The sequence below is a fragment of the Homo sapiens genome, chromosome 15 (genome assembly GCF_000001405.40).
Source record: "Homo sapiens chromosome 15, GRCh38.p14 Primary Assembly".
Classification (NCBI taxonomy): domain Eukaryota; kingdom Metazoa; phylum Chordata; class Mammalia; order Primates; family Hominidae; genus Homo; species Homo sapiens.
In genome coordinates, this window is record NC_000015.10 from 85467295 (window position 1) to 85487788 (window position 20494).

General features: G+C 39.8%; 1 protein-coding gene across 2 annotated transcripts in view, besides 3 other annotated features; it reads left to right on the forward strand.

Moving 5' to 3' along the window:
* Positions 1-20494, forward strand: part of AKAP13 (A-kinase anchoring protein 13) — a 368756-nt gene that overhangs the window by 86692 nt on the left and 261570 nt on the right. For both annotated transcript variants that reach the window (NM_007200.5, NM_006738.6), the window contains exon 2: positions 18416-18459. In NM_007200.5, coding sequence (NP_009131.2) covers positions 18427-18459 — 33 coding nt within the window. In that variant the 5' untranslated portion in view covers positions 18416-18426. The remainder of the gene's footprint in view (positions 1-18415; positions 18460-20494) is intronic.
* Positions 8366-8425: a silencer, noted in NCBI's record as "silent region_6781". NCBI's record gives its function as "represses an Ori minimal core promoter by ATAC-STARR-seq in GM12878 lymphoblastoid cells {active_cell/tissue: GM12878}" and the evidence as "EXISTENCE:reporter gene assay evidence [ECO:0000049][PMID:35858748]".
* Positions 13744-13793: a silencer, noted in NCBI's record as "silent region_6782". NCBI's record gives its function as "represses an Ori minimal core promoter by ATAC-STARR-seq in GM12878 lymphoblastoid cells {active_cell/tissue: GM12878}" and the evidence as "EXISTENCE:reporter gene assay evidence [ECO:0000049][PMID:35858748]".
* Positions 14328-14487: an enhancer, noted in NCBI's record as "active region_10015". NCBI's record gives its function as "activates an Ori minimal core promoter by ATAC-STARR-seq in GM12878 lymphoblastoid cells {active_cell/tissue: GM12878}" and the evidence as "EXISTENCE:reporter gene assay evidence [ECO:0000049][PMID:35858748]".

Below are 20494 nucleotides of genomic sequence, written 5' to 3' on the forward strand. Positions count from 1 at the left end.
GTACTCAATAAATGTTTGAGTGATTGTGATTTTGAACTTGCCTACTTTGCGAGCCCTCCTTCCCACCTTTCCGCTTCACAGCATCCTCATATTACCTTGTGATCTGTTCCTACTGGGCCACCATTAATTGTTCCTTTAAAGAGCCATGAGTTATTTGTGTCTCTGTGAACATACACACAGTTTTATCCATCTAGAATGACTTCTCTGTCATCCCTAATGTATTGTCAGGCTTTTTTCATTCTTTCAACTTCTGAGATTGAGATCAGATTACCTCTCTGCAGCCTTCCTGACCATCCTTTCTTTCCTAGGTAGAATTGGCCACTCCCTTGTGTCTTCCTTGTTTTCATATCTGTTTCTCTTGGAACATATCTACTTTGAAGGAAAAGACTGTATTTTTACTGTTCTATCTGCAGTACCGAACACAATATGCCTAGTAATAACTGCTTACTGAATTTTGGCGAATGAGTGAATAACTAAAATAATAATGGGACATTTCAGGGGTTGATATTTCGGCCTGCAATCTTTTCGGCTCTGTTATCCAACCTGTTGCCCATTAGATCCAGCAAGTTTGGTCAGGGTGTGCTCTCTGTCCTCATCCAGCTTACTGACTCAAGTGTTGACGGAGGCAGAGTTGAGGAGGACATTTTTGATGCCTGATTTCTGATATGTTCAAGTACTCAAATTTGCACATTTTAATTTCTTTGTATTTTTGTCTCAATAATGTGAAAGAACAACAAAACTTCAAAATGTTGTGTGAGTAGGTGGTTCTTAAACTCTTTCTTGGGTGAATGAATATTATAAGACTATGTTGGAAAAGCATTCTTATATTTCTCAGGGTAAAGGAACTTTTGAGGTATTCTATGAAGACTTATTAAGGCTGCAAGAAGCTGAAATTGGGAAGCCTGTCTGTTTTTCTAGTCTGGCCCTCAATTTGCATTACATCTTTGAAATAGCCTGAGTATACTGTCTTATGGTTGATGCCCCTTTTAGACGGTCAGAGTCTTAGCCCTTCTAGAGGTATATTGAGATTGGAAAATCACACTGTGTTATGACTTTTCGTGGTTTTAGTAGTTGTCCTCTAAGTTTGGACTATTTAAAATCTCTAGTAGCAGATGAGAGGTAATAACTCTTTGGAAACAGACTGAGATAAAATTAAGTTTTGGTAAAATCAGTCGTGATTTGTAGCTTGGAAGAATAGGCATATTAGCATTTTAACAATATAGCTTTGATGCTTTAAAGAACACCAGGCTACTAAAGAGATGTCTTGGTTCTCTCAGATGAGTTCTGTTGTATCACTTTCAGATATTTTGTTCTTTATCCAAGCAAAGCACAACAAGTAGTTTCTAATATGAACTGGATTTGTAGAATTTTGTATGAAGTCTGACTTAAAATATAATTAAATTAACATTTGGGGAATGAGTTTAGTCTTTACTAATTTTTTTAGGTCAGAGAGCATAACTTCTGTGAAGCTGCCCCCATTTCACCCTTCATGCTTCACAAATACTTGTAGAATATTTTCATTGCCTTGCAATTAGGAGTTTACATACAGGTCTCTCCTAACAGATTGAGAGCTCCTTGAGGGCTGTGACTACCAGTTGATCTGGCCCTTATTAGGTGTGTAAATTTTTTTTTTTTTTTAATCAGACTTTTGCTCTTGTCACCCAGGCTGGAGTGCAATGGCGTGATCTCAGCTCACTGCAGCCTCTGCCTCCTGGGTTCAAGCAATTCTCCTGCCTCGGCCTCCCCAGTAGCTTGGACTACAGGCGTGCACCACCACGCCCAGCTAATTTTTGTATTATTAGTAGAGATGGAATTTCACCATGTCAGCCAGGCTGGTCTTGAACTCCTGACCTCAGGTGATCCACCCGCCTTGGCCTCCCAAAGTGCTGGGATTACAGGCGTGAGCCACCGCACCAGGCCAGGTGTGTAAATGTTTAAGAGGATAAATGAGAGATGTCATGTGCGGATATATGTCCTATTGCAACCAGAAAGTGCCTCTATTAATAAGGAACTGCATATAATAGTGCCTTCTAGAATAGATAGACCTGAGGTTAGGGCTGTAGTTGCTATGTACAGTGGATATTACTATTGGGTGTTCCTGTCAGCAGGATTACCTCTTTCCAGGTAGTTCCAGATTGTGACAAATGGATTAATCTGGTAAAGACAGGTGCTGTTTTAGGTATAAAGTTTAGCATTGATCCCTAAGTTTACTTCTGGAATAGCTGCTCATCTGGAGTCATCATTTGCAGGCCATTTCTGGTGGACCCACCAGCTGCAAGATACAGATTTATTATTTGACCTGTTTTCCTCCAGTGCAAGGATACTGTGACTGTTAAGCAGCATGCATTAAATAACTAACTCATCTGTTAATAAGTGTGCACATAGACTTTGGCCAGAACACATTAGACCCCTGAACAGAGAATCTTAAAATACTAATGCATTTATTTTAGGTGGCAAAGAACTAGATTAGTCAACTAAAAGCACATGAAAACTGTCAACTCCAGTTTTACAATCTACATGCCATGTCGATACAGAACTTGTGATAATGTGAATGGCATTTTTAGCAGAGAATTGTAGTATTTAAAGACAAAAGTTCATGAGTGTTCTGAAATAATGGTACTTTTTCTCAACCTCTCGCTACATGGGAAAGGCAGCCTTCAATAATCTCTCTTCCAAGTAACATATAGGGCAGTACTAAAGAAAACTGAATCAGCTGGTTGTGATGGCTCACGCCGGTAATCCCAGCACTTTGGGAGGCCAAAGTGGGTGGATCACCTGAGGTCAGGAGTTCGAGACCAGCCTGGCCAACACGGTGAAACCCTGTCTCTACAAAAAATACAAAAAATTAGCCGGGCATTGTGGTGGGCACCTGTAATCCCAGCTACTCGGGAGGCTGAGGCACAAGAATCACTTGAACCCAGAAGGCGGAGGTTGTAGTGAGCCGAGACCTCGCCATTGCACTCCAGCCTGGGTGACAAGAGCGAAACTCTGTCTCAAAAAACCAAACCAAACCAAACCAAAACAAAACAGAATCTGCATTCCCAAGAGTCCATAGTAGAGGAGGAAGAACTGCCAGTGCCTTTTTAAAACGCCAGTTTATAAGAGTTGTGCCTGATTCTGTTTCGATGCTAATAAAGGTAATTCACTTTCAACTCAGACATACTGCTTTATAAAACAAACATGTTTAAAACAGTAGCATTAAAACATTATAGTTTGTTTTATAGAGGAATAATCTGACACCTAGAGAGATTACGTGGTTTGTACAAGGTTCTTTCAAATTCTTAACTAGTTTAGAGGCTCACGATCGGTCTTTTTAAAGTAGCTTTTCCCTTTCCAAAATAGCTTTTCTTATCCCTCCTTGCCTTTCATTTTGTAACTTTATAATAAAGTCAGTATGCCCTAATCACTTTCTTTTGTTTGAAGTAGCCAGCATGCATCTGACAGACATGCAGTTAGACAAAGGCTCAGTGCTTTAAGCATTGACAGTGAAGAGAGTTCAGTGATTTTATGTTACTTTGGAGATGTGGGGAGAAACAGAGATGCAGTATCTCAGGAACATTCAATTTTATGCTTTCTCTGAGCTATAACATCATGACTGCAGTTGGTTAAGTTTCAGTGTAATTTTAGTCATTCTTATCCTTATTATCTATTCACTTTGTAGCGCTTTTAAACAAACATCTGGCACTATCTTAGTTACCTAGTTTTATGTACTTTCCACGTCCCTTGTGACTTCATGCTGGCCTCTTGTTGCCAGCCTGTTACTGCCCTCATTGTGGAGGAAGCTGAGATTTTCTACCAGGCTCAGCCATGGAATAGTGACAATTGGTGTTCAACACAATGACACAAAGCATTACAGCATTATAAAGAACTGTTGAATTGTTTGAAGATATTTTTTAAAAGTTTAAAAATCTGCCTTATTGGCTGGGCGCGGTGGCTCACGTCTGTAATCCCAGCACTTTGGGAGGCCGAGGCAGGCAGATCACAAGGTCAGGAGATCGAGACCATCCTGGCTAACATGGTGAAACCCTGTCTCTACTAAAAATACAAAAAATTAGCCGGGTGTGGTGGCAGGTGCCTGTAGTCCCAGCTACTCCGGAGGCTGAGGCAGGAGAATGGCATGAACCCAAGAGGCGGAGCTTGCAGTGAGCTGAGATGGTGCCACTACACTCCAGCCTGGGCGACAGAGTGAGACTCCGTCTCAAAAAACAAACAAACAAACAAACAAAAAACTGCTTTATTTAGGGTATAATTTAAACACAATAAAATTCACCCATTTTAAGTGCTTAGGTCAGTTGGTTCTGATAACTGCGTACGTAACCACCACCACAATCAGCAAATAGAACATTCCTATCACTCCCAGGTTTCTTGTCCTTTTGTAATCGCCTCCCCCCATCCCTGGGTCCAGGCAAGCACTGGTTTACATTGTGTCACTACTTTTGCCTTTTCTAGAATTGCATAAGAATGGGATCGCATAATAGGTAATATAAGTCTTTGAACTTATACTAGCTCTGTTTATTTTTTCAAACTGATTTGAATATTTTAAGTCATTTGCATTTCCATGTGTTTTTGAATCAGCTTGCCTTATGAAAGACTACTGGTGTTTTTATTAGAAATGCATTAAATTTGTAGATCAGTTTGGGGGAAAGTTGACATTTAATGATATTAAGCTAATATATTTACCATGTATCTCTCTATTTTAAAAGATCTTTAGTTTTGTATTTTTTTAAGCAAGTTTTTCGGTCTTCAGTATACAGGCCTTACACATTTCATTAAATTTGTCCTTAAGTATTTCATGGTTTTTTATGCTGTTACAATTATTTGAAATTTCAACTTGTAATTGTTTAACAATGCTATGGTGAAGAATTGGTTAGATTAGATCTGAGTTTAAAGTCATATACTAGGTTAAAAAAAAAACAAAAAACAAAGCAGGAAGCTGGTGCAGTGGTGCCCACCTGTAGTCCCAAGTACTCGGGAGGCTGAGGCAGGAGGATCACTTGAGCCCAGGAGTTGGAGTCTAGCCTGGTCAATATAGTAAGACCCATCTCTTAAAAAAAAAAAAAAACAAAGACAACAACTCAACAAATTTTCAACAAGTTATTGCCAGTCTAAATTGGGGTAATATAACACTCGTTCTGGATTTAGAAATAAAACATTTAAGAGAAGCTTCAGTGTTCATTCCCTGAATTTCAACTTTTCTGAACTCTTTTTGACATTTTAAAAAATGTAGACAAAGGATCTTGCTACGTTGCCCAGGCTGGCCTCAAACTTCTCAAGGGAGGAGATGCTCAAGCAATCCTCTCCCCTTAGCCTCCCAGGTAGTTGAGACTATAGGTGTGCACCACCACACCTAGCTTTGAACTCCTCTTAGTAGGAAACTCTTAGAGGATTTACATATTAAGAACTTCTCATATAGGGGAGGAATAAAATTAATTTCCCCACTTGAACTAAGATAATAAAAAATAAGGTTGTCATGAAAAATACAGACCTGGTGCTTTAAAACATTTTAGCATTTGTAGCTGTGTATGAAAAGATAAATAGCACTTATATAACAGAAATGCATAATGATAAACTGTTGTTTCTAGTAAATGTGGAAACAGGCCATATTACTATGTATGTGACACTTTAAATATTTAATATATGTGACATATACACAAGAATATAGCTAGAGAAACAGCTAGACATCTGCTAAATAGTACCCTTTCCTTTAAAATTACTACACTTCAAAAATTCAAAAAATACACATAGGTGTTTCATAAAATCACTGTTGTAACAGAATGACCCACGTGCTAATAATTTGGTCATAATAAGCACATAAGGAGCACAACTGGCTACTTTCCCTGAAAACTGTTACAGTCAAAAAGTAAATTAATTTAGGGAAAAAAGACTGAAGATTTCAAGGTACGGGGTCCTAAAAGTAAAGCTACTGCTTTGCAGGTTTTGTTAACTGGGCGCGGGTGTGGGGGTGGGAGTAAAGAGTAGGGATGTAGGCTTACAGACCCAGGTTGTCAGGAGAGCAATTTGATGTGGAAGGCACAAGTAAGAGAAGATGTAAACCACGCAAACAAAAAGTATTTGAAAGGGAAATAATTCAATTCAGCAAATATTTGAGTGCATACTCTGGACCGAGATTATAGATAGAATGAACTATAAAAAGTCCAAATAAACCCTCCAGAGAATGCTGAGACCTTGGCTTTCTGATTCTCCACATAAGTTAAATAGGCCCCACAGGAGGCCCCCACTGCAACACGCAGTTGGTTCAGTGCTAGATTAGTCATCGTTAGAAGATGGCCAGAATTCAGACTGATCTGAAAAACCAAAGAACTCAGGTTGCTTCAAAAACCCAGAGACAGCCAAAGCTCAGAATCAACTAAACATCCCATGTCAACTGAAGAATGATGGACTGCTTTGGTCATAGTAAGAGGGTCATGAGAGGGGAGGGAGGTGAAGCCCAACCTCTTGCTAGCCAGGGGCCTCCCTCCTCTGTAGAAAACAGAGTTAATAACCACTCGCCTGAGAGGCCTGTGGTAGGTCAAATGAGATGCCATCTGTGCAGCAATTTAGTGCACAGGAGATGTTCTGTAAACTTCATCTTTCACTGACACTAATCCAGTAAACAGGCATACCTGACTTGGGATAAGCAACAAGAAAAAAATGATAATGGGAAGCAATGAGGAAATAAAATCCTCACTTCTTACTTGAACAGCAGAATCCTTAAGAAATACAGCCCACTCAACTACTAGTTTGAAAGTTTAAAGTCTCTGTGATATCAGTTCTTTCTCTAGGTGACTTACATAGGATGAAAAAAGTGTTCCCAACTGTAAACATGGGTTTCTGTATCAAACATGTGGCTGACTCTCCATCAGCAGGAGTAGCAGTGGTTAAAAAACACAAGCTAACATGTTCTCAGCTCTTCCTCCAAGAGGTAAAAGCTCATAAGCCCATTATTTTCGTAGTTTAAAACATATATTCCTGATTCCTTTCTTTCCCTCTGCCCCACTCCCCAAATGCTGTCTTTAAATAGTCAGATTCTCTGCTAAAAATGCCATTCATGTTGTCACAAGTTCTGTATTGACCTGGCATCAGTGTTGATAATTAATTTTCATGTGCTTTTAGTTGGCTAACCTAGTTCTTTGCCACATAAAATAAATGCATTAGTATTTTCAGAAATATCCTTGCTTGGTGTATAAGAGCAAGAATGACTGTCTAAGGGATTACTCATGTCAGGAATGTTTTATGATTAGAAATTCCCCATTAGAAATAAAATTTTTCATTGAAGCGATTAACATTAACAAAATCTTTAATAGGGGACTGCTTAGAATATTGAAGTTTTCCTCATATCTGTAGAATTTTCACTTAATTATGACATATACAAGTTTTTAATTTGAAGTCTTCATTGTTTAAAACTTTTCCTTCCAATTTTGATAGGTGGTTTAACAAAAACCTACCACCTTGTGTTTCCAGTGTCATTGTTCTCAAGATGTTAAAGGCTTAGTATTGTGAAATTATAACATTGAAGACAATATTTATTCTCAAGACAAGAACCAGTCTAATAATTAACAAGGTAACTGACATTTTTAACGTCTCTGATCCCCTCTGACACTTGTGTGACTCGTTCGATAGTCACATAACGTGTGTGAGAAGGTGGGCCGTGCCTGCCTTGGAAATCATTCCTAACAGGTCTCGCATTTGTCCAGGTAAGGTCATCCAGCTCAGTAATGTCCTCATTTGTGTGAGAGCCTACCTGCCTATATTTAGTCTTTCCAGGTGGTTTATAATTGGTTTAGCCCATTGGACAGCCTGCTTTTTGGTTGATAGAGGCTGGGGAGGATGAAGGAAGTGTAAAGGCTTGAATTTGGCAGTCTCTTTGCCGGATATCTATTTTAACCCCTCCTGAAGTTAATTTACATAAAACCCAGCTGTGTAAGAATTTTTCTAAATTTAAAGTTTATTCTTATTACCGTAGGGATAGGAATGTCAGCACTCACTGAATTATGGCCTTCCTCTCCTGTGTCTGGACCTCCTGGCAGCTTATGGTTCCCGTTTCCTTTGGATAACAGGATACAGCTGGTGGCAAAATTCTCACCTGTGGAATGGCCATTGGGAGTTTTCTTCTCCATATAGATCTTTGCAAAGCAGCAGAAACCATTTTTGCAGGAAACCACAAGCCTGTGTTAAACACCAAAAGAGAATTGAAATAACATGTCCATGAGTTCCTCTTTCCAGAGGTACCAACCATCATGTGGGATCCTAAGTATAGTGTTAAGTAGCTCTTTGTCCTCCCCTTCACTTTGAGGTTGTCTAGTTATATGATGTTGAATTCCCCAGCTCTGGTCCCTATTACCTCTCTGGCAGATTAAGCAAATTGCTTCAGGCTGGATTGCTTAACACTTAGCAGAATTCATGCTGCCTTTAATGAGCTACCAGTTTAACCTTCTGGGGCTAGAGTGATTTTTAGACATTTTTGTTTTGATGAGTTGATTTTTGTACTTATAGCTATAACTGTGGATCCCTTGCCATCAAACTATGGTGCAGCAAAGCAGCTGATGAATTTCTCTGTCTCTGATGTTCATGTCAAACAGTTATTTCTCTAGCATTCATTGGGGGCTCAGTACTGTGCCAGGTGCTGTGGCATGAGCAGTAGTGGTGTGGAGGGTGCTACAGGAGACATCTGCAATGCAGTAGACTAGATTAAAAACAAGTTGGGGAGAGAAGGCAAGCACAAAAATAAAAGAAAAATAGAAGATAGTATTTGACTTACTGCTGATAGTGTGGGTTAGATTATCAGTGATAATCCTATTAAAATCAGCAAGGGTGGAGGGCATGAACATGAGCAAAGACTTGAGGACTGGACTGAGCATGGTGCATGCATGTGAGGTATGCAGGGACTGGATGGAAGGTGTGGTATGGAAGAAAAGAGTGCTCAGTAAGGCTTTATAGATAATGAGGGACCCTGAACACTCTTTGGAGGCACCAGAGGGGTAGTGGGGGCATGGTGGATGGCTTCTGAGAGCTCACCAATGATAAATGGTATGTTTAATAGAGTACCTTATCTGTTGGAATGTATATTTTCCTCACCATCACCTTTTATTTAGAATTAGGGATCGACACAGTGATGAGGATGTCCTGAGAGATGTGGTAGCTGAATGTGATAGAAGGTTAGTGCTGAAAGGCTATCATGTAATTCATAACAGGCAAGAAGAATAGGAGCTTACTTTATTATTTTCTTATTGCCTACCACTGTGTTAAACCTTTAACTACACATCTTTAATTTTATGTATTCTCATTTTACAGATGAGGAAAATAAAGCTTGGTAGTTAAGTAACTTGTCCAAGGTAACACAGCCAGTAAGTGCCACATTTACAACTCAATTCTAGGTCTTTTTGTCTCTGTCTCTGAATTACGTTAGTACTCTAATTTTTATCCTTACATTAGTCTGTTGGGGTCATCAAATGATTCTTAAATACTAGAAGGTTGTCTCTAATCTTAATGAGGACTCTGCAATCATCCTTTCCTTTAATAACTATTCATCCAAGTGGCTTGTCTATCGTTGTTGTAAAATAAGTACGTTTAATTTTTTACAGAAGAAATGTAGTGGGCTTAATCATGTGCTGGCCATGTGTGTCTGTGGATGCAGCATTTAGGAATATGGGTCCCAGAGTACAGGGCTCCATCTTTAAGCTCTGGAGGTTGGAAGCTCTAGGAAAACTAAGGTGGGTTAAATGTGTTCCCAAAACTGTGATCACATTTTATGTTTATGCTTTTCTCTCCCTTTCTCGAGTCATGGTAGGTTACTATTTGAGTGCCATGCCCTAGAACTCCCTAAAGTAAAGGCACTGGTATCCCAAAAGAACTGTTCTAAAAGATTACTTACTTCTGTGAAGGCAGAGAGGGTGCTACAGAATGAAAATAGCATTTTAGGAAGGTTGAGTCAGAGGTGCGAGTGGGGCATAGAGAGATTTTCTCAGGGTGATAAGGCCCTGGTGCTCAAGTCTACAAGCAGAGACAGGCACATTGGCAGTGAGTCCTCCTTGGGGAAGAAGAATGATCTGGGCTACTTCCAAGACCCCTTCTACCTGTAAGTTCTTGTAATTTGGGATTGGGATTAAGAAACTCCAGAGGCTGGTGTAAATTGATGGGGCACCAGCTGTTGTTTGCTGCACCTCAGGGAAGTCATGGTGGGAGTCTGGCCTGGCCCTGTTGGCTGGGGCCCCCAACAGATCCTTGCTGTGTCTGGGTTTGAGTTTACGCTACACAATTACAAACTTTTTCCAGTGCTGCTTTTTGTGAATCTTTGAACCTGCAGTTGTGAATGAACAGAAATTTGAACTGAGCTTAAAAAAAGGAAAAAAAAAAAAAAAAAAAAAGGCAGAGCTTTGTTGATACCACTGCCATTATAGGGCCATGATTTCTTTTTTCCCCATTTAGCTGCAACACATTTATTTTTCCCTTGTATAATGGCTGAGATTTCTTTAGTATGGAGCTGTGTCACAGTGGTTTATGTATTTTCTTCTCTCTCCCTGCCTCTGTTTCTAAGGCTGGGCAACTTTGAGGTATGTGGATTGACCTGGATGCCTCTTGTGACTCCTTCCCCACGATCCCCTGCGTGCACTTCCTATTCATCTTTGTAGTTCTCAGCTACTCACTGTGCTGTCATATCTGGCGCGTGCTGTTCCTTCTATCCTGTGCTTCTCCTCCTGTGTCCACTTGGTGGAACTTTCCCCATGGTTTGCTTCTTCCAGTAATCTCTGTCTGGACCCCCCATCTTCTAGAGAGTTTATTGCTCCTTCCTGATCCTTGTAACATTTTTATTATTGTGCTCATCATACTGTAATATCTGTTTACATACATATGACCCTTTACTAAAGTGGTAGGAACCACATATTATTTATTGCTAAAGCTCAATAACTTAGTACATGTAATATTTTAGGGGCTCAGAAATGTGAAATTATCTCCCTTTATTGAGTTTTTATGTGCCAGGCACATATTATAAATATATGTCAAGAAAAAGATAACCTAAACACGGAAAAGATTATAGTGTACTCTCCTACACAACTTTCAAATAAACTCTAAAATGATTATAAGGATGTCAGAGTTCTGATTTTTTAAAACTACATTTAACTTACTATTTTAAATTATTTGTATTTCATTATTGTAAGAGTTCTGATTTTTTTTCCATGATAATTACATTGATTTGGTGTTTGTGCATGTGTTTGGCCCAAACTCAGGATCATTTATGCCTTTTGGGTAATCCAGCGTTGATAAAGAATAAATTAAATGAGTGAACGTGGGTGTTACTGTTTTGTCGTTGCTGTTGTTTTAATTTGCTATGTTCTTTTGTTTTACTGTTGAATGTTACCCTGTGTTAGACTCTTCATTTCCTTCATGTCATGCCTGCCTCCTTTGTCCCACTCCCAACCCCTCGCCTTACCCATTTGGGCTCAGTGCTTTGTGTTTTGTCTTGGTGGCTAGTAAGTACCATCATATGATAGTGGGGCAGAGCAGGGCTAACTGTTCCGTATGAGAATCAGACACATATTATGAGTCTTAACATCATTTCCCGAAGTGTGGGTCATGATTCCAGAGCAAAGGATCACCAGATTTGGTCTCCCGATTTCTACTCTTTCTGGTCCTGGGAATGAGAATCAGCCTTATTTAACAAGGCCTTAAACTGATGTTCATGTGTACTAAGGTTCAAGAATCGCTGCTTAAAACTAACTGCTCAATTATTAATGTAGCTGCAAACAAAAGTAAAGCATTCATGAGGGTCTTGTAAGACTTCCTCAGTCCCTTATTCAGGAAATATATTTGGCCCATGTGGTATTTTACTTTTTTGATAGAACTTGGCATCTTCAACAGGAAAAGCGTATTTACTTTTTGTATCCTGGTCTTCTTCCGTTGTTCAGAATTTCTAGCTCATATTCCCAGCCTCCCCAACCAGGGCATAACATTTTTATAGCCACCAGCCCAGGCTCCGTGGGTTGAAGGAAAGAGTTTTTGGATCCTGTTATTTTCCTGGAGGAAGAGCTGAACATTGACTCTTTTACAAGAATCCAAAGTATGCATTGTCATTTCCATGTTAACCCTCACTCGAAATTTTTGTGGGTTTTGAAGGATTGACTGTAGCCCAGTCTTAGCAGGATCCCTGGCCATGGAAATTCATTTGAAGCACATTGTGCCATGGAAGTACCCTGCAGGTAAAAATGCTCTATTTATACTTGGCTGAGTCCCAGACAGCTGCTGTCTGCCTGTTGGGACTGGGAGCAGATGTAGGGGTGATCTGCCCCCTCCTATTTTTTTGTGGATTTGGAAGCTTCCCTGTTGAGAGTGACAAAAACCCTGTCAATTGATGTGGTAGGTATGTCAGACCTGGACAGCTGGTCCTTAGAAAATATGCTGAGATCACCAAGTTAACAGGTACAGAAGGGTTTCCAGTTTGTTATATGATGTTGGGCCTGTGACTCCCCACCCCCCTTTTTAGGGACATGTCATTAATGGTGGAGCGCTTGTTAAAGGCTTCTCTTGTAGCATGTGTAGGTGTGGCTAAAGAATAGTGAATTTGATTGATGTTAATGTACATCTGGATACATTCTCATTTTAATTTTTTTTTATTGGTTCTAGGGACTTTTGGTAAAGATTGTGGATGTCTTCAGTTTTACACATTTAGGAAACAGTGTCTTTTTACTTATTTCCAGTACAGTTGTGATGTATTGAATGACAAGGGACTTTAAAACAGACATGCTGTGTATAATGTTTTCTTCCTGATTAAAAAGTAATATCTGTTCATTATTTGAATAGTTACAATTAAGAAACAGATTATTTAGGGATGAAAATTTCCTGTAATCTCCAGAGATATGTACACTTAACATTTTGGTGTTCGTTCCTCCAGATTCTTTTCTATGATTATTGTATTATATTTTAGAATTGTAGTTTACCCACCAGCGTATTTTAAGAAGTTACCAGAAAGGCGTCTCTGAGTATCTGAAGCCTTTCATTTAGCCATTTATGGATTTCAAAGTATCTTATGTGGGGTTAGTCTCCATTGAGACTCAGGAACTCTGCAAGAGGGAGAAGCATTGGCTTCTGCTATGTGCCTGTCAGTGTGCTTTAATACTTTACCTGGATCATCTCTTCCAGTAACCCCACAGTATAGGAAGCATTATTATGCTCTTTCTGCACATAAGGAGATGAAGATTCAGACAAGTTAAGTGACTTGCTCAAGGTAATACAGTTAATTGTAGAGGACTTGGGATTGAATTTGATTTATTGTCTAGAGAATATTGTATGGCACCCTATTACTTTCCTGTATTGAGATGTAGGTGGTGGGGGTGGGGGGGTTAAGCTGAAAATATCTGTGAGATGTATAAAGCTGTTGGATAGAGACACACCATTTCTTTCTTCTTATTTTTTTTTGAGACAGAGTTTCTCTCTTGTTGCCCAGGCTGGAGTGCAGTGGTGCAATCTGGGCTCACTGCAACCTCCACCTCCCAGGTTCAAACGATTCTCATGCCTCAGCCTCCCCAGAAACTGGGATTACAGGTGCCCGCCACCACACCCGGCTAATTTTTGTATTTTTTGTAGGGACATGTATAGTTTCACCATGTTGGCCAGGATGGTCTGAAACTCCTTATCTGAAGTGATCAGCCTGCCTTGACCTCCCAAAATTCTGGGATTACAGGCGTGTGCCACCGCGTCTGTCCTAAGGAGACACACTGTTTCTCTGGCTTATTAAGAGGTATTTGGTTAGTATATAAACATTTTCGTAGCTTCTGAGGTTTTGCAGTCATTTGTTCAGACATACGGGTTGGTGGAAATGCTTTCTGTTCCTTTTCCCAAACCAATCACACAGCCATATAACTTCATGCCTGAGTTTCTCTGTGGTCCTCTATAGTGAGTGGTTTTTACATAGTTCTTTGCAGCAGCATGAATTTCAAAAATCTCCAAACTTTTGCTATTGCTGATCTTTGTAAACTTTGCACACCCAGCGCTGGTACATTCTGATGATGGTGTCCACACTGCACTTTATGAAGAAAAGACTGATGATTGTTTATATTAAAATGTAGGAAGAGAATTGTAGCAGCAACTTTTGCTTCTCTAATCAACAACACCAGAAGAGACTTACTGTGTGTGGTCAGTGGGGGAGAATGTTAATTTATAAATTGAGATAGTTGTATTAAAATTGAGTGACTCTTATTTTGACATAAAGTGAATGTGTCTCTTTTATACAGCAGAAAACTATTAAATTTGTTTTTTCTCATCAGTATAAAATAAAGTGGAAAATGTGGGAAGAATACAAATTCTTAACTTCTGTGCTTCTGCTTATTTCACACCCCTCAAATTTCTGATTCCTTTCAACTGTAGCTGGCTTTACTACTGAGTGGTGAAATTGCTGAACATACTTAAAACCACATCATTTAAGACTTTGAATTTTGACATTTCCTCCTCTTCACAGTCTTTAAATACTAGGCAACCTGTAGGGTTCCACTGTGTCTGTCATGTATTGTCCCTGTGTTACATGAAAGCAGCCTCAGTGAACTTGTGAATTTGCTCAGTCATTTCACTGGCTACTGGGTGAGGAAGAAGTAGGATTTTCTCTCTTAAAATTCCTTGGTGAAATCATTGGATGGGCATGATGTGTTTCTTTAATTTTCATTTTGGTAAAAAAATCTACTGACAAAGCAAAGACTTTCAGTTGTTCTTGGTCTTTCAGTAGGTTTAGTTTTTAAGTGTGTTTACTCTGACCAAAAACTGCCTTCCTGTAATATGCTCCTCCCTTTAGAACTCAGTTCTTAAGTAGAGTTTGTTTAAATGTATAAAATAAGTTAATGCATTATATGCAGCGAGGTTTTGCATCAGAACCCTGAGTTCTCAATGTTGTGGCAGGTTTAAGTGTCTAGAACACCTTTTAGCTGTTATTTCTATTACTTGCTTTTTTATTTTTGGGGTAAATGATATCTTCTCAGGGAGGCCTTCCCTCAGCACCATGTTTTAAAGGGCATCTCCCTCATTTGCTATTCCTTCTTCTGTTTTATTTTTCTCTATAGAATTTGTTACTGTGTGAAAACTATTTATTTTAATGTTTTATTTACCTGTGTTACCCCTAGAATAATATCTATGAAGGTAGGGATTTTTGTCTGTTCCTTCTGTGCCTACAGAGTCTTGAGGAGTATGGTGTCTGGCACATTGTAGGTGCACAATGACAGCTGAATTAACAATGTCAGGGAGAGTTTGTAGGATGGGGCTCGAGGTATAGGGCAAGTCAGTTTTTAGATTTGAGGTCATTAGCAGGAGATCCTCTTACGATGTGGGGGGAAAAACACACGTTTTAACGTCAGACTGGGTTTGAATCTGGTCTCTCCAACTTACCCTTTGACCTTGGTGTTAAATGATTTAACCTTTGAAAGATCAATTTTTTTCACTAGTGAAATAGGGGAAATAGTATCTTTTTAGTGGGGATTAAATGTAATATCAAATATAATGCTCTGTAAATGTTAGTTTTGTCTTTCCCGTTGTGTGCCAGCATTGTGGAAGTCTGAAAGCAACCTGAATTTACCAGTCTGTTTCTGGAGCCTTCTGGGGTCATTACTTTGATTACTTTTGACAGATACATTCTTTTCAGCAGCCTGTGTTGCCAGCATAACAATGACCTGTCCCTTTGACCAGTGTGAGGGACAGACACTTTGTCATCCCTCTTTTAATCCTTGTATCAGAACAACTCTTACGAGTTCTGGTTTTGAAACATGTTTAGAGGAGTTTATAATTCCGAACAGTTCAGATGACATCAGCCCTTTCTTAGAGCCCTCTAAGTTTGCTCAGCTTCCTCATTCCAGTGTGGCGGGAACCATTCAGTTAAATTGATGTTTGTGGTCTTTACACATAGTCATCCGAAGTTTCTTGCAAATCACGAAACATCAGAGGGCTGCTAAGTCACTAGTTTGTCTCTGTAGATTTCTCTAATCCAGGCTTGTCCAAACCGTGGCCTGCAGGCTGCATGCAGCCTGTGAAGGCTTTGAATGTGGCCCAACACAAATTCGTAAACTGTCTTAAAACATTGGCTGGGCATGGTGGCTTACGCCTGTAATCCCAGCACTTTGGGAGGCCGAGGCGGGTGGATCATGAGGTCAGGAGATCGAGACCATCCTGGCTAACAAGGTGAAACCCCGTCTCTACTAAATATACAAAAAATTAGCCGGTTGCGGTGGCGGGCGCCTGTAGTCCCAGCTACTGGGGAGGCTGAGGCAGGATAATGGCGTGAACCCGGGAAGCGGAGCTTGCAGTGAGCCGAGATTGCGCCACTGCAGTCCGCAGTCCGGCCTGGGCGACAGAGCGAGACTCCGTCTCAAAAAAAAAAAAAAAAAAACACCAAAAAATCAGCTGGGTGTTGTGGCGGGTGCCTGTAATCTCAGCTACTCGAGAGGCTGAGGCAGGAGAATTGCTTGAACCCAGAAGGCAGAGGTTGCAGTGAGCCAAGATTGTGCCACTGCGCTCTAGCCTGGGCGACAGAGCGAGACTCCATCTCAAAAACAAACAAACAAAAAAATTATGAAATTTTCTTTTTTTGCAATTTTTTTTAAAGCTTATCAGCTATTATTAGTGTTAGTATATTTTATGTGTGGCGCAACACAATTCTTCTTCTTCCAGCGTGGCCCAGGGAAGCTACAAGATTGGACGACACTCTTTTAATTTTTGTGGCTTAACAAGGTGTTAATTCCTGTATAAATTTCACTGATATTTCTTCTGCTTGATGCAGGAACACTTGACAAGTTAGTTAAGGTAGATTGGTCCATAAATTTATAGGTTCTTTCATTCCCATGTCCTAGGCAAGTCTGAGCAGGCCCTGGAAAGCTGATTAAAAGGCCAGTGAGCACAGTGAGCTTAATTGTAAATTAAATGGATATTTAATACATTAAGAAGGCACTCAAGCCTTTCAATCTTTCATTTTCATCCATGCTTGCTGTTTGAATCTGATGGGCTTGAAATTGACTTTGTTCTTCTAAAAATGTTGGTTGGTTATTGCTGCCTTTCTCAAGCTTGGTTTTCAGTGTGGATTTCTGCAGATAATTTTTGCACCTAAAAGTACAAAGTCATTAAGTGAAGATAGTCAGGAAGGAAAGAGTGCCCTGAGCCAGGAGGTCTGTTATAGCGCATGGGGTGGACCAGAGAATGAATGGGCATGGGCATGGAGGTGGTTCAGTCAGTGTGGGAAAGCCACTTGCTTGTCAGTTTTCTACTGCGTTGTCCAGCAGAACACGTTGAAGCTTGGGGCCTGCAACTGGTGTGGAGATGATTGCATTTAGGAGGCTGATGTAGATTTTTTTCCCTCTAAGTGTGTGTTAACTGCCTTTTGGTGAAGTCTTGATCCGAGACATACACAACTTGATCTGTGAGGATTGTAATATCGAGATGGTTCTGTTATTTGAGTTAGGCATGGCTAGGCTACCAAGGCATTGCTTTTCAGTCCCAACAGTTGGTCATTTCAATTTCAGTGAGGCTTTTGTGATTTGTTAGAATACAAAGTTTGTTATTTTGTCTGTGTTTTTGCATGTATGAATGACACTTTATACTGTTATTTTGCTGGTTAGTATGTGCCTTCATTTACCTATTGTGAGTAAGAAACTTCCTCAGATCAAATTATAGTAAAGTCACTTGGTTCTGTTTCTCTGACTCTTAAGAGATTGAGATCACTTTATACTCAAACTCAGGGTGTTTGGTAAAGGACCTACCCTTCTGAGCATTTATAGCCTAGATGAAGTCCTGGTCCAATCACCAAGTTAAACTTTTAAGAACATGCTATTCTTAATGTTCAGGAATTCAACCCTGGAAGCCTTCTCTAAATCTTAATGAGATTTTTATGAGAATTCATTTAGTGAACATAACAATCAGGGAATCCAGCTATTAACTTTGAGGAGGGTCATGCCTTTTAGTGGTTAGAGAGGCAAGCTGTAGCCTCCCTTCTCAGAGAAGGGGAATTGAGGAAGAGAGTTCTAGTGGTCCCTTGCAATCCTCCCCTCACTTTCCAGGCTCCCTAGTAAGACTGCAAGAAGTCCCTGAGTAAACAGCATTTTGTGAGTTTGAGGGACTACGTAAAAATGTAAGTGAACATACAATGGTTTTGCTTTGATAACTGTTTTAAATATCCTGTTGGTTGTTGAAACTTCTGTGACAGTGAAGCCTTTTGTCTTTATTTTTCAATCGGAAGATCTTTCTTCCCCACTTGAAAAGATTGAGTCTGGGATCAATTCCTGACCCCGCTTCCTTCCTAAATCTCTTAGTGTATAGCATACAGCTGGGCATATGGTAATCTCGGGCACGGGATTGTACTCACAGAGCTATGCTTGACACCTAGGACTTTAGGTGGCTTATATATTTTCGGTGACAACTTTTAATTTTATTCTCATTTATTCCATTTCTGTTTCAGTGTCCTGGGTCATGAAACTTAATCCACAGCAAGCTCCCTTATATGTGAGTAAATCATGAGATTTCTTATTATTTTGTGTTTATCTGTTCTGCTTACTTGTTATAATAAGCCACACTCTCACATGATAGATCCTCAAGGAAAATTTTAACCATATGTCCATGAATATATTGGTGTAAGACACTTCAGAAATTGAGTTTGATTTAGTAAATACTAAATGGCTAATCTGTGCATGGAAATGAAAACAAATAATACCTGTAAGACTTGAGAGTTAATTTAGTCAGGGTAATAGTATGCATGTATGAAACAAATTGTCCTGCCAAACAGTACTGTAGCTTCTTATTTTTTACCTGCAGTGCATTCCTGTAAAAGTAGTGTGGAGATCCTCCTACTGCCACTGTGATTTACCTTATGTTGCCACTAGGTGGCACTATGTCATTGGCAAGAGTACTGTTTTCTTTAGGACTCATCTCCCTAAAGTGAGGGACTTCCCTCATTCAGTGGGTTGTCATTTCACTTTCTTGATGCTATCCTTTCAAGCACAAAAATTTTCAGTTTTGATAATGTTTTGTTGTTGCTTTTTTTTTTGGCATCATATCTAAGAAGAATTCTTTGCATAACCTAAAGTCACAGAGATTTATTCCTATGTTTTCATCTAGGAATTGTATAGGTTTAGTTAGCTCTTACATTTAGGTATGTAATGTGAGAGTTCATTTTTGTGTATTTTGTAAGGGAAGAGTCCAACTTTTTTCTTTTGCATGTGGATCTCCAGTTGTTCCAGCACCATTTGTTGAAAAGACTGTTCTTTCTCCCATTGAATTGTCTTGGGCATCCTTGTTGAAATTGATCAGAAGTGTGAGGAATTTTTTCTGGACTCTGAAGTCGATTCCTTTCATTTAGGTTGTTTTTGATTTCTTTCAACAGTGTTTGGTAGTTTTCACTGTATAAACTTGGTACTTCCTTGAAATTTGTTGCTTATGGTTTTATTCATTTTGATGGTATTGTTAATTTTGTTATCTTAATTGTTCAGTTCTTTTTTTTTTTTTTTTTTGGATGGAGTCTGGCTCTGTTGCCCAGGCTGGAGTGCAGTGGCGCGATCTTGGCTCACTGCGAGCTCCGCCTCCCAGGTTCACGCCAGTCTCCTGCCTCAGCCTCCCAAGTAGCTGGGACTATAGGTGCCTGCCACCACTCCTGGCTAATTTTTTGTATTTTTAGTAGAGACAGGGTTTTACCATGTTTGCCAGGGTGGTCTCGAACTCCTCACCTCGTGATCCACCCAGCTCCCAAAGTGCTGGGATTACAGGCGTGAGCCACAGCACCTGGCCAATTGTTCAGTTTTTGATTGTTCATTGCTTATATATAGAAATACTGTTGATTTTTGTGTACTGATCCCTGAAACTATAGCCTTGTGTCAGAGATGAGTTACAAACTATAATCTAACTTGTTTGGCCACAGTTTTTAAGTGGATGCCTTAGGATTTTCTCTGTACAGGATCAAGTGATCAGAGATCGTTTTCTTCCTTTCCAATCTGGATGCGTTTTATTTCTTTTTCTTGCCTAATTGCCCTGAGAAGCATGTCTGGTACAACATTGAATAGAAGTGGTGAGCGCAAACATCCTTGTCTTTTCCTGATCTTAAAGAGAAAGCATCCAAGCTTTCACCAGTAAGTATGATGTTGTTAGGTGTGGGTTTTTCACAGGAATCTTTTGTTAAATGAGGACATTCCCTTCTATTCCTAGTTTGACTATTTTTATGATGAAAACATGTTGGATTTTGTCAGGTGATCTTTCTGTGTTGAGATGGCCATGTAGGTTTTTTTCCTTTCATTAATGTGATATATTACATTGACTCAATTAAATAGTTTTTATTTATTTATGGAGATGGGGCCTTGCTCTGTCACCCAGGCTGGAGTGCAGTGACATGATCATAGCTCACAGCATCGTGGAACTCCTGGGATCAAGGGATCATCCCACCTCAACCTCCTGAGTAGCTAGGACTACAGATGTGCGCCACCATGCCTGGCTATTTATTTATGTATTTATTGAGACAAGGTCTTGCTCTGTCACCCAGCCTGGAGTGCAG